Genomic DNA, 13,612 nt, shown 5'->3' with positions numbered 1-13,612 from the left:
TGGAATGTGTAACAAATTACCTGACTTAATGAAATTATCATAATCAACAACAACAAAAAGTCTTATTTTGCCATTCCATTCCTTAAGACACATACTTCTACTACTTTGGGGCACCATCATTTCAATGGGTGTTAATAAACCCAACACTGTGACCTCTTCTCTTAGATTAGCCCTGGCCTGCAGAGGAGAGCCACCACCAAATTTCTTAGGATCAGTGGTACCTCTCTTTCAGCTCATTCCTGATGGCTTTAGCAGTGTGTCCTCTAGGCCTTCCAATGGAACATAATTATCTAGCTGGTCTTCTTGCCTTACATATCAGTTTCGGCATGCCCACCTTCCTCTGCAGTTTGTCAGGGCAAGGCAGGTATTTCCACTTCTCTGAGATTTGGCCATTATTTTTTCCAGGCTTCTTAAATCCTTGCAGCAACTTTGTCCCATCTCCTGGAGTTCCTAGTAGAATATTAAATCTTTTGTCCTGAGAAAGTACCCCCACATCAGTGAATTCTTGCTTATCCAGTCTTCCATTCTGACATCCTTGATTAAACATCCTCAAATGCTAATCCCAGAAATAATCCCCTGACTCCTGCTAAGTCTTGCCTTTTTTTTTTTTTTTTTTTTTTTTAGATGGAGTCACCCTCTGTCTCCCAGGCTGGAGTGCAGTGGTGCAATCTTGGCTCACTGCAACCTCCACCTCCTGGGTTCAAGCTATTCTCCTGCCTCAGCCTCCCGAGTAGCTGGGACTACAGGCGCATGCCACCACGCCTGGCTAATTTTTTTTTTTTTTTTTTTTTTGAGACGGAGTCTCGCTCTGTCGCCCAGGCCGGACTGCGAACTGCAGTGGCGCAATCTCGGCTCACTGCAAGCTCCGCTTCCCGGGTTCACGCCATTCTCCTGCCTCAGCCTCCCGAGTAGCTGGGACTACAGGCGCCCGCCACCGCGCCCAGCTAATTTTTTGTATTTTTAGTAGAGACGGGGTTTCACCTTGTTAGCCAGGATGGTCTCGATCTCCTGACCTCATGATCCACCCGCCTCGGCCTCCCAAAGTGCTGGGATTACAGGCGTGAGCCACCGCGCCCGGCCGCCTGGCTAATTTTTTGTATTTTTAGTACAGACGGGGTTTCACTGTGTTAGCCAGGATCGTCTCGATCTCCTGACCTTGTTATCCGCCCGCCTCGATCTCCTAAAGTGCTAGGATTACAGGCTTGAGCCACCACACCCAGCCCTTGCCATTTTTTTAAGTACATAGTCTCTTTTCTCCTTTATCAGGCCCAGCACAGCCCCAGTTATCAGCCTAGTAGCCAGGAGAGGAGGTGGGGGTAAGGGCAGCATCAGAGGAGGGCACCTATTTCCAGCACAGCCAAAGCGCTAGCTCTTATTAAGAAAGATAAGGTACCTCTGTAAACCCAGAGGGTCCAGGGGCACAGTGGTTGCAGAGGCCAGACTCTTCAAAGCCTTCTCAGCCACATCTTAGGATCTCAGGTTTTTATCACCGAGCCCTGATCTTCACTACTGCTTTGACTGAGCAATGCAAAAACTATGGAGCTCTAAGACTCTACATATTAAGTCTTCAGCCTGCTGCTCAAATGTGCCTGTTCTTCTACTAGAAGAGATAAGGGCCTCTTTGTAAGCTACCACACGGGTTCTGAATCTCACACTTAACCATTAACTGATTGGTTGTTTGTTTGTTTGTTTGTTTGAGATGGAGTCTCCCTGTGTCTCCCAGGCTGGAGTGCAATAGCATGATCTCAGCTTACTGCATTCTCCACATCCTGGGTTCAAGACATTCTCCTGCCTCAGCCTTCTGAGTAGCTGGGATTATAGGCACGTGCCATGATGCCTGGCTAATTTTTTGTGTGTGTGCTTTCAGTAGAGACAGGGTTTCACCATGTTGGCCAGGCTGGTCTCAAACTCCTGATCTCAAGTGATCTGCCTGCTTCAGCCTCCCAAAGTGCTGGGATTACAGGGGTGAGCCACTATGTTGGCTGATTATTAAGTGTCCTCAGTCTCTCATTATCCTTATGTAGTTGTATCACTATGACTTAGCAGCAACCAGCCAACTCCAGCTCTACTGTCCTTGAAAGCATTGTTTCTCCATATTTTTGAAAGGCTTGAGATATTGCACCTGCTACAGCATTCTCTTCCATCAGCATTCCCCTCTAGGGATGCATTTTCCCACATTACCACTAGTGACATCTTCAGCCTCCGAGCCTCCACCTTGTGCCATGCCCCACTTCACAACCACAACAGCATCCTTTTCATTTGCTGGGCAGTAGGTGAGCTAGTCCTAAGTGAGCCACGTCCCCATCTTACTGCCTATTTTCTTAGATCACTCCTGGAACCATTTGTGTTAGTCTGGACCTTTTAAGAAGCAGACACCAAGACGGCATTAAGTATACAAAGATTTTATTAGGGGAGATGACCATGAGAAAAATTGGAGAAGGAACTGGAGAAGTCATCAGACTACAATACAAGCCTAAATCTGAATGAAGGAGAGAGAGAAGCAAGGTTGGGTAGAAGCACCCTAGACTACTATGCAGAATAAGAAAGTTTCAGCAAAGCTGTTGTCCTCGAGTCAAAGTTCTTGATAATCTGAAGAGCCCCATATCTCCCGGGAATGAGGCTGCCTTAGCATTCCAGCTACATGCAGTCATTGGCTGATAGTAGCCTAGGGGAAGCATGGCCAGGAAGCAAATGAAGCAGTTGATCTCAGAGTACACAAGTTGGGGTCTTGGTCAGTTATGTTGTTCCTTGTAAGTGAAGGTCTTTGAGGCACGTCTCCTGGCCACCAGATACTGAGGGTGAAGTGGATTGTCTGTTTTTCTTTTGAATTATGTCAGGTTTTTTGCTTCATGTATTTTGGGGCTTGTTAGGTACATATATATTTATAATTGTTATTTTTATATGTTGATCCTTTTTCATTATGAAATGTCTCTATTTGTCTCTAACAATGAAATGTCCTTATTTGTCTCTAATATGACCTAAAGCCTGTTTTGTCTGATATTAAAATAGCCACTGCAGGTCTCTTATGATTACTGTGTGCATAGTATATTATTTTCTGTCTTTTAATTTTAACCTATTTATGCCTACAACTCTAAAGTATGTCTTTTGGTGGACAGTATATAATTGAATCTTGCTTTTTTTTTTAAGACAGAGTTTCGCTCTTGTTGCCCAGGCTGGAGTGCAGTGGCGTGATCTCAGCTCACTGTAACCTCCGCCTCCCAAGTTCAAGTGATTCTCCCGCCTTAGCCTCCCAAGTAGCTGGGATATAGGAATGTGCCACCACACCCGGCTAATTTTGTATTTTTAGTAAAGACAGGGTTTCACCATGTTGGCCAGGCTGGTCTCGCACTCCTGACCTCAGGTGATCCACCCGCCTTGGCCTCCCAAAGTGCTGGGATTACAGGCGCGAGCCACCTTTCCCAGACTGAAAAGAAGGTTCTTAAAATCTTACTGATGCTATGGTTTAGAACAGTGCCCAGCCATCTTGCTTTTTGATATAGTTTCACAATCTGTGATTGATCGGTTAGCAGTATATTTGTCTGCTAGCAACATATTCTCTCAGTTTTTGCTTATCTGGTAATGTCTTTATTTTAACTTCCTTTTTTAAAAAAATGGTTTTGTTGGATATATAATTCTTGGTTGAAAGACTGTTTTGTTTTGTTTTGTTTTTCCAGCACTTTGACTATGTCTTTCGGGCCTCCATTGCTTCTAATGAGAAGTTGGCTGTTAACTGTATCATTTCCCTAAATGTGATGAGTCATTTTTCTCTTGCTGCTTTTAAGAGATTTTTCTCTTTGGCTGGGTGCGGTGGCTCACACCTGTAATCCCAGCACTTTGGGAGGCTGAGGCAGGTGGATCACCTGAGGCCAGGAGTTTAAGACCAGTCTGGCCAACATGCCAAAACCCTGTCTCTACTAAAAATACAAAAATTAGCCCAGCATGGTGGCATGCACCTGTAGTCCCAGCTACTCAGGAGGCTGAGGCAGGAAAATCACTTGAACCTGGGAGGTGGAGGTTGCAGTGAGCCAAGACTGCACCACTGCATTCCAGCCTGGGCAACAGAGCAAGACTCTGTCTTGAGGAAAAAAAAAAAGAGAGAGAGAGAGAGAGATTTTTCTCTTTGTCTCTGGCTTTCAGAAATTTGACTATGATATGTCTAGGTGTGGTTCTTTTTTGTTTATTCTACTCAAGTTTCATCAAGCTTTTTGTATATGTAAATTAAGGTTTTTCATTAAATTGAGAAGTTTTCAGCCATTGTTTCTTCAAATATTTTTTCTACTCCTTTCTGTCTCTTCTTCTGAGATTATTATTTTACATAAGCTGAAATGCTTGACTCCATGGTCTTCCAGGCTGTATTTTTCCTTCAATTTTTTTTGGTCTCTCCTTGGATTGGATAATTTCTATTAGTCTATCTTCAAATTCAGTAATTATTTCTTCTGTCAACTCAAATTTGCTGTTGACCTCATTGTATGAATTTGTCATGTGAGTTATTGTACTTTTCAACTATAGAATTTCCATTTGGTTTGTGGGTTTTTTTTGTTTTTTTTTGTTTTTTTGTTTTTTGAGACAGAGTCGCTCTGTCACCCAGGCTGGAGTGCAGTGGCATGATCTTGGCTCACTGCAACCTCCACCTCCCAGGCTCAAGTGATTCTCCTGCCTCAGTTTCCTGAGTAGCTGGGATTACAGTTGCTCACCAGCATGCCCAGCTAATTTTTGTATTTTTGGTAGAGATGGGGTTTCACCATGTTGGTCAGGCTGGTCTTGAACTCCTGACCTTGTGATCTGCCTGCCTCGGCCTCCCAAAGTGCTGGGATTACAGGCGTGAGCCACCACGCCTGGCCTCCGTTTTTTGGTGTTTTTTTTTTTAATACTATGTCACTATTTGGATTTCCTTTTTGTTGATTTATTGTTAGCATTTTTAAAATTATTTGAACAGCCAGGTACCGTGGCTCATGCCTATAATCCCAGCTCTTTGGGAGGCCGAGGTGGGTGAATCACTTGAGGTCAGGAGTTCGAGACCAGCCTGGCTAACATGGCAAAACCCCGTCTCTACTAAAAATACAAACATTAGCCAGGCATGGTGGCACGTGCCTGTAATCCAGCTACTTGGGAGGCTGAGGCAAGAGAATTGCCAGAACCCAGGAGGCAGATGTTGCAGTGAGCCGAGATCACGCCACTGAACTCCAGCCTGGGTGACAGAGCGAGACTCTGTCTCAAAAAAAAAAAAATTTTTTGAACATATTTATAATAGCTCCTTTGAAGTGTTTGCCTGTAAAAACTAAAATCTGGGCCCACTCAGAGTCAGTTTTACTAAGTGCTTTTTCCCCCCTGTATATGGATGATACTTTCCTGCTTTTTGCGTGTCTAGTAATTTCTGGTAAAAAACAACATTTTAGCTGATATATTGCAGCAACTCTGAATTCTGTTTTCTATTTTTAATGGTTGGTGGGTTTTTCCCCCGCTAATAACGTAACCAGATTTAAATGGCAGAATCTGTATCTCTGGTGTGCACCCGCTGGTGTCCCTACAGTGGTATGCTCCACCACTTGCTTTGAACGAAACCTCATTCTCAAGCTGGCAGAGCTATGCATTTTTCCTATTTGTACCCAACTAAGTGCACCATTTATTGCTGGCAAGACTATGAGGTTTTGCCCCTCATACTGAATGGAGTCTTACTCCTTTCACAGAAATGAACTCCAAAATGGAAAAGTTTCCAATGAAATAAAATACAACAAAATAAAATTCCAGGCCCTAATACTTTTGCCAGTGAATTCGACCAAACATTCAAAGGAGAGTTAATGCCAAGATTATACAGACTCTACCAGAGAGAAGATGAAACATTTCACAACTCAAGTTATGAGACCAGTATAACTTTAATGCCAAAACCTGACAACATATTACAAGAATAGAAAATTAAAGGCCAATCTCTCCTATGAGTATAAAATGTAAAAATTCTTGTTTTATTTATTTATTTTTATTTTTATTTTTTTGAGACAGAGTCTTGCTCTGTCACCCAGGCTGGAGTGCAGTGATGCCATCTCGGCTCACTGCAACCTCCACCTCCTGGGTTCAAACAGTTCTTCTGCCTCAGCCTCCTGAGTAGCTGAGATTGCAGGCACCTGCCACCATGCCCAGCTAATTTTTGTATTTTTAGTAGAGACGGGGTTTCACCATGTTGGCCCTGCTGGTCTTGAACTCCTGACTTCAGGTGATCCGCCTGCCTTGGCCTTCCAAAATGGTGGGATTACAGGCATGAGCCACCATGGCCCGGTCCCTTTTTGTTTTATTTCATTTTAGTTTTCAGAGACAAGGGTCTCATTATGTTGCCCAGGCTGATCTCAAACTCCTGGACTCAAGCATTCCTCCCACCTTAGCCTCCCAAAGTGCTAAGGTTACCGGTGTGAGCCACTGCACCCAGCCAAAATGTAAAAATTCTGAACACAATTTTAACAAACCAAATCTCACAATACATAAAAAGGATAAATCATCACTATCAAATTTTGTTTATTCAAAAAATGTAAGGTTTAATATTTGAAAAATCCATACTGTAATTAATTTAGATCTGGCTCAAAAACTATGTGCAATGACCAGATATGGATAAATCCTGTAATAAGTAAGAATACCCAGCCAGGCACGGTGGCTCACACCTGTAATCCCAGCACTTTGGGAGGCCGAGGCGGGTGGATCACCTGAGGTCAGAAGTTCCAGACCAGCCTGGCCAACATGGTGAAACCCCATCTCTACTAAAAATACAAAAATTAGCCGGGCTTGGTAACGTGTGCCTGTAATCCCAGCTACTCAGGAGGCTGAGGCAGGAGAATCACTTGAGCCCAGGAAGTGGAGGTTGCAGTGGGCCGAGATTTCGAGATTGCCCACTGTACTCCAGCCTGGGCGACAGAGTGAGACCCTGTCTCCGAAAAAAAAAAAAAAAAAAAAAGTCTTAAATAAAGAATACCCCTCAGTATGCAGTATCCTGTAATAAGTAAGCATACCCCTCAATATGCAAAGAACTCTCTCCTGAACTCCCTAAAGCAATGCTTCCCAAAATGTGCTCCTTGGAACAGTGGTCCTGGGAGGAAAAGGGATACTAGGATACTAGGAACAAATGAGTTTGGAAAAACCTACATACTGCACTCCATTCCCACTTTAACTTCTCAGAGTCACAATGTGTATTAGTGCATTAAATAGACTACAAATGTTAGTAATAATAAGCATATTTATCTTTGTTTAGACCATGTTTTACCAAATTTACCAAACCACAAAATCTTTTTTTCTGGTATGTCCAGTGCCAAGCAGCAAAATTAATGTTCTGTGGATATCACCCTAAGAAATGCTTCCCTATAGTAACTTAGTGTTCGTCTAGCAAATTATCTCTTACAAGGAAACAAACGGTATTCTGCTGTCTTGGGAGAGATCCTAAGAGACCTGTTTACATTGAGAAGCATATTTATTGATGTTAGCTTTCTATTGATAAACATCTCATGTTTAATGTTAAGTTAATAATTTTTTTTCAGTTTATTGCATGAAGGAGTTACACTAGTCCAAGTTAAACACAGACCCCTAATAATTTATCATAATTTTTTAGCATAAAAAGTTATAGATGTTCTGTATTAAAAAAAAAAAAACTAAATAATGCATAGCTTGTTTTGAGACAGGGTCTCACTTTATTATCCAGGTTGGAGTGCAGCGGCATAATCATACCTCACTGCAACTTCAAACTCCTGGGCTCAGGCAATTCTCCTGCCTCAGCCTCCCAAGTAGTTGGGACTACAGGTACCCACTGTCGTGCCCAGCTAAACTTTTTTTGTGGGGTATGGGGGTCTCACTATGTTGAACAGCCTGGTCTCGAACTCCTGGCTTCAAGCTATCCTCCCACCTGGGCCTCCCAAAGTGCTGGGATTACAGGCATGAGCTACTGCCTGGCCAGAACATTTTGTATTGAATGAGAAAGTTCCCTTTAATACCCTCCCTTAGAGATCATCATTATGAGCAGGTTAGTGTTAGCTTAGCTTTTAACATTTCATATTTGCAGAGTTGTTTTAGAATAACTGCTCACTACTAGAAGAGTTGAGTCAGTTTTCACTATCTAACAAAAAGTGTACATATTAATCATGTAAAAACATTTAAGCTTGCAGATAAATGTGAAAATAAATATTAGCATGTAAAAAATTTTGGAAAAAGAATATAAAAAGCTAAACACAAAAGAGAAGATTAAAGAAGAAATAAACCTAGGGAAAAGAAAGCTGAAGATTGAAATCTGATAACTTCAAATAAGAGCTAGGATGTAATAAAGATGTGAAACAAGGGCATAATTCATTTTTTTATTTTGGCATGCACAAAACATCCTTTGAATACTCTAACACTACTATAAGAAAAAGTTTCCCCTATTGCTATTATAAATCAAGATATACTTAAACAGGAAAATATTCATAGGCATAAAACTGTCATGTATGCCAAAAGGAGAAAATGAATAAAAGGCATCATTAGTTGATAGTTATGATTGAGGGGGAGATGTGTCTCATCTTACCAATCCAAGATTTGGAATGAAATGATCAACACAGAGTGTCTCCAGACGATTGTCATCCTGTTGACACCTGCAGCACCATTAATGGTCACCAGTGAAAACAACTTCATTTCCCCCTCTCTTTTAGTGGTACTTCTGCGGACACAGTAGTTTGTAATGTTAAGACAAAGATATTTGTAAATAAGGCCATGTGAGTTATAAGAGTCATGGGTTCATGGTAGGACATCTGACAATGGCATCCAGGGCTATTTTGTGGAAGGGTCTGATGTTCTTCTAGGTGACAACTTCAAAAGGTTTGGGTGCAGACCCAACAACTGCATTTTCTTTGAACATCTCTGACTGAAACAGCAGAATGCTTTCATTCTATTCTGGATCCTTCCAACTCTCAGATCAGTTTCTTTTCCTCCTGTAGCCCTCCTCTAGCTATAGTGCATCTTTCCTCAGGTAAGGACACAGAACTATATACAGTGTTCCAGATGTGGCTCTTATTTCCTTTTGTGTTAAAATGCCCTTCATAATCCTAAATTTTTGTTGGTCTTTGTGGCTGAGGAAGCAATCTGGACCAACATGTTCAAAGAATATGCTGATCCTCTTTGTATGGATGTAAGTAATAGCCAATCTTTTTTTTTTAGTCTAGAGGAAAGAGAACTTGACCAGCAAGTTGGGAGACCTGGCTCAGGGTCTAGTTCTGCCAACAACTGTGTGATCTCATAAGTTATTTAAATTATATTGCCTTCAATTTATTCATCTACAAAATGAAGGATTTGACTTTTCAATGTTTTAAGATCCTTCCCAGCTCTGAATTTTTATGATTATAACATTGTAGCTTATCTGCCACTTTTCTTGACATTCTTGCATCTGATAGGAACTTTTAGTAGTATATCCTTAGATTGGCATTTCATTTACTGGAACTGATTAGTGTCAAATGCAAACTTAAACATTTCACTCTAAACCTCCAGTCTTAAATGTAAGACTCCTACCCTTTATTTCCTAGCTTTAATGAGATCTCTATCCATTAATTCATTTATACACTTTTTTTTTTTAAGAGATGTGCTCTCGCTCTATTGCCCAGACTGGAATGCAGTGGTGTGATCTTGGTTCACTGCAACCTCTGCCTCCTGGGCTCAAGTGATCCTCCCACCTCAGCTCTGGAAGTAGCTGGGACTACAGGCCTGTGCCACCATGGTTGGTTAATTTTTGTATTTTTTGTTGAGATGGTGTTTTGCCATGTTGCCCAGGCTGATCTCAAACTCCTGGACTCAAGTGATCCACCTGCCTTGGCCTCCCAAAGTGCTGGGATTACAGGCATGAGCCACCACGTCTAGCCTCCATCTATTTTTTTTATTTGTTTGTACAGACAGAGTCTCGCTATGCTCTATTTATACATTATGACATTAAATATTAATTTCCTATTATTTGCCAGTAAGAAGAATATCATCTGTACTCTTACTGAGCTTACAATCTGGAAAGAAGGACAGCCATTGATGCAAGCAATGACATGGAAATATAATGCTCGGGAAAATACTAGGGAATTCGAGATAATACAGACAAGTGTCAGAGCAATTTCAGTGTTTTAAAATAAGCTTTCAGCTTGGTTATTCAAAATTTGGAAATTTTGGCCGGGCGCGGTGGCTCACGCCTGTAATCCCAGCACTTTGGGAGGCCGAGGCGGGCGGATCACGAGGTCAGGAGATCGAGAACATCCCGGCTAAAACGGTGAAACCCCGTCTCTACTAAAAATACAAAAAATTAGCCGGGCGTAGTGGCGGGCGCCTGTAGTCCCAGCTACTTGGGAGGCTGAGGCAGGAGAATGGCGTGAACCCGGGAGGCGGAGCTTGCAGTGAGCCGAGATCCCGCCACTGCACTCCAGCCTGGGCGACAGAGCGAGACTCCGTCTCAAAAAAAAAAAAAAAAAAAAAAAAAAAAAAAAATTTGGAAATTTTAAATTATTATGGTTATGTCCACAGCTCTCCTTTATTTAAAATAAGGTAATAACAGTTAGAAATTCTTCTTTCCCTAAAAAAGTAGGTACATTCAAATACCTCTATATATAAATAACACCTTACAACCAAGAAAAAGATTTGCCAAATGGCTTAATACTTATTTCCTAGTAGTTGGGGGAACTGCTTCCTTCCTTTTGAAAATATTTGAGAAACAACTTGGCATTTTCTCTAAGTATTGTGCAAAAGTGGCCTGGCATAGGTGAAATGAGTCAAACCTAATATAATTTATCCATTGTTCATAGAAATGTTTTGGCTGTATTCTACATGGACTCAGTGTAATGCACTACAAAGGACCATAATTGGCCAGCAAGTCTTTTGTTTATTTAAGAGAGTAAGGCTTTCCTGTTGTTATTGTTGAGTATTTTTTAATCTTAAATTTTATGATATTGACTTTCATTTTTTCCTCATTATATAATATACAATTGAAGACAAATTAGAAAATCTGATTTAAAATATAATAAAGAGATACAATCATCTTAAGGCTCCAGTTAGAGATAACTACAGTTAACACTTCAGTGTATAACCACCTATATGTTTTTCCATTTCCTTGCTTTCTTTTCTTTTCTTTCTATGCTTCTTTTCTATTCTTTTCTTGACAGGGTCTTTCTATGTTGCCCAGGCTGGTCTTCAACTCCTGACCTCAAGTGATTCTCCCACCTCACCCTCCCAAAGTGCTGGAATTACAGGTGTGAGCCACTGTGCCCAGTCCTCTTTTTAAAAGTCTTTTAATGGACTTCAATCACACAGATTTTGAACTAAACGTAACCCTTATTTTGTAACTCATTGTCATCATTGACCCTCTTATTATTTATTTAATTAATAAACATCTGCCATCCTATGTAAGATCCAGAATATTGGCAATAAATTACAAGTTACTGTCAGTATTCTAGATGTCTTTCTACGTTTAATGTATACACTGTTTTGTTTTTGTTTTTGTTTTGAGACAGAGTCTCGCTCTTGTCCCCCAGGCTGGAGTGCAATGGTGCTCTCTCCTCTCCGCTTACTGCAACCTCTACCTCCCAGCTTCAAGCAATTCTCCTGCGTCAGCCTCCCGAGTAGCTGGGACTACAGGCGCCTGCCACCATGCCTGGCTAATTTTTGTATTTTTTTAGTAGAGACGGGGTTTCACCATGTTGGCCTGGCTGGTCTCCAACTCCTGACTTCAGGTGATCTGCCCGCCTCAGCCTCCCAAAGTGCTGGGATTACAGGCGTGAGCCACCACTCCCGGCCATGTATACACTGTTTTTAACAAAGTCTTCTTTTTGAGAGATGAGAATTAGACCCTCACATATATGGTCAATTGATTTTTTTCTTTTTTATTGTGGTAAAATTTATATATATTATATATATATATATTTGTATTTTTTTAGTAGAGATAGGATTTCACCATGTTTATATATATTATTATATATTATATATATAAAACATTAAATCTACCAGTGTAACCATTTTTTAACTTTACAATTCAGTACTGTTCTGTTGGTTTTTTTACATTGTTGTAAAACAGAAAAACAGATCTGCAAAACTTTTTCATCTTGCAATTCGGAAACTCTGTGCCCATTAAACAACAACTCACTTTTTCACCCTTTTCCCGGCCCCTGGTAGCCACCATTCTACTGTTTCTATAAATTTGACTACTTTAGATATATAAGTGGAATCATACAGTATTTGTGTTTTTGTTACTGGCTTATTTCACTTAGTATGATGTCCTCAAGGTTCATCCATGTTGTAGCATGTGGTAAGATTGTCTTCCTTTTTAAAGCTGAATAATATTTCTGTGTGTGTGTGTGTGTGTGTGTGTGTACCACATTTTGTTCCTCTGCTCAACATCAATGAACATTTGGGTTGCTTCCACTTCCTGGAATAGTGTAGAGTGCTGCTATAAACATGGGTGTGTAAATATCTCTTCAAGACCTCTCCCTCAATCTTTTTGAATATATACCCAGTAGTGCAATTGCTGGATCATTCTATTTTTAATTTTTTAAGGAACTTCCATCTGTTTCCCATAGCAGATGCACCATTTTACAAAACCACTAACAGTGAAGGAGGGTTCAAATTTCTCCACATCCTCACTAACACTTGTTATTTTTTGTTTCTTGATAGCCATACTAATGGATGTAAGGTGATATCTCATTGTGGGTTTTTTTTGTTTGTTTGCTTGTTTGTTTTTTGAGACAGAGTCTCACTCTGTCGCCCAGGCTGGAGTGCAGTGGCATGATCTCCACTCACTGCAAGCTCTGCCTCCCGGGTTCACGCCATTCTCCTGCCTCAGCCTCCCGAGTAGCTGGGACTACAGGTGCCCGCCACCACGCCCGACTAATTTTTTGTATTTTTAGTAGAGATGGGGTTTCACCGTGTTAGCCAGGATGGTCGATCTCCTGACCTTGTGATCCGCCCACCTCAGCCCTCCAAAGTGCTGGGGTTACAGGCGTGAGCCACTGTGCCCAGCCTTCATTGTGGTTTATTTTGTTTTGTTTTGTTGTTGTTGTTGTTTTGCATTTCTCTGTTGATTTAGTGATGTTGTGCATTTTTTCATATACTTATTGGCCATTTGTATAGCATCGTCAGAGAAATGTCTATTCAAGTCTTCTGCCTATTCTTTTTTTTTCTGTTTCCCTATCACTGATTTTATTTATTTATTATTTTTTCTTTCCAACTTTTATTTTAGGTTCGGGCATACATGTGCAGGTTTGTTACATGGATAAATTGCATGTTGCAGGGGTTTGGTGTATAGATTATTTCCTCACCCAGGTAATAAGCATAGTACTCAGTAGGTAGTTTTTTAGACCCTCACCTTCTTGCCACCTTTCACCCTCAAGTAGGCCCTCGTATTTATTGTTCCTTTCTTTGTGTCCATGTGTACTCAATGTTTAGCTCCCACTTATAAGTGATAACATGTGGTATTTGGTTTTCTATGCTAGTTTGACTAGGATAATGGCCTTCAGCTCCATCCATGTTCTAGCAAAAGAAATGATCTCATTCTTTTTTTATTATTATTATTATACTTTAAGTTCTGGGATACATGTGCAGAATGTGCAGGTTTGTTACATAGATATACACATGCCATGGTGGTTTGCTGCACCCA

The sequence above is a fragment of the Homo sapiens genome, chromosome 1 (assembly GCF_000001405.40).
Source record: "Homo sapiens chromosome 1, GRCh38.p14 Primary Assembly".
Lineage (NCBI taxonomy): Eukaryota > Metazoa > Chordata > Mammalia > Primates > Hominidae > Homo > Homo sapiens.
Note: the sequence above shows the minus strand (reverse complement) of the source record.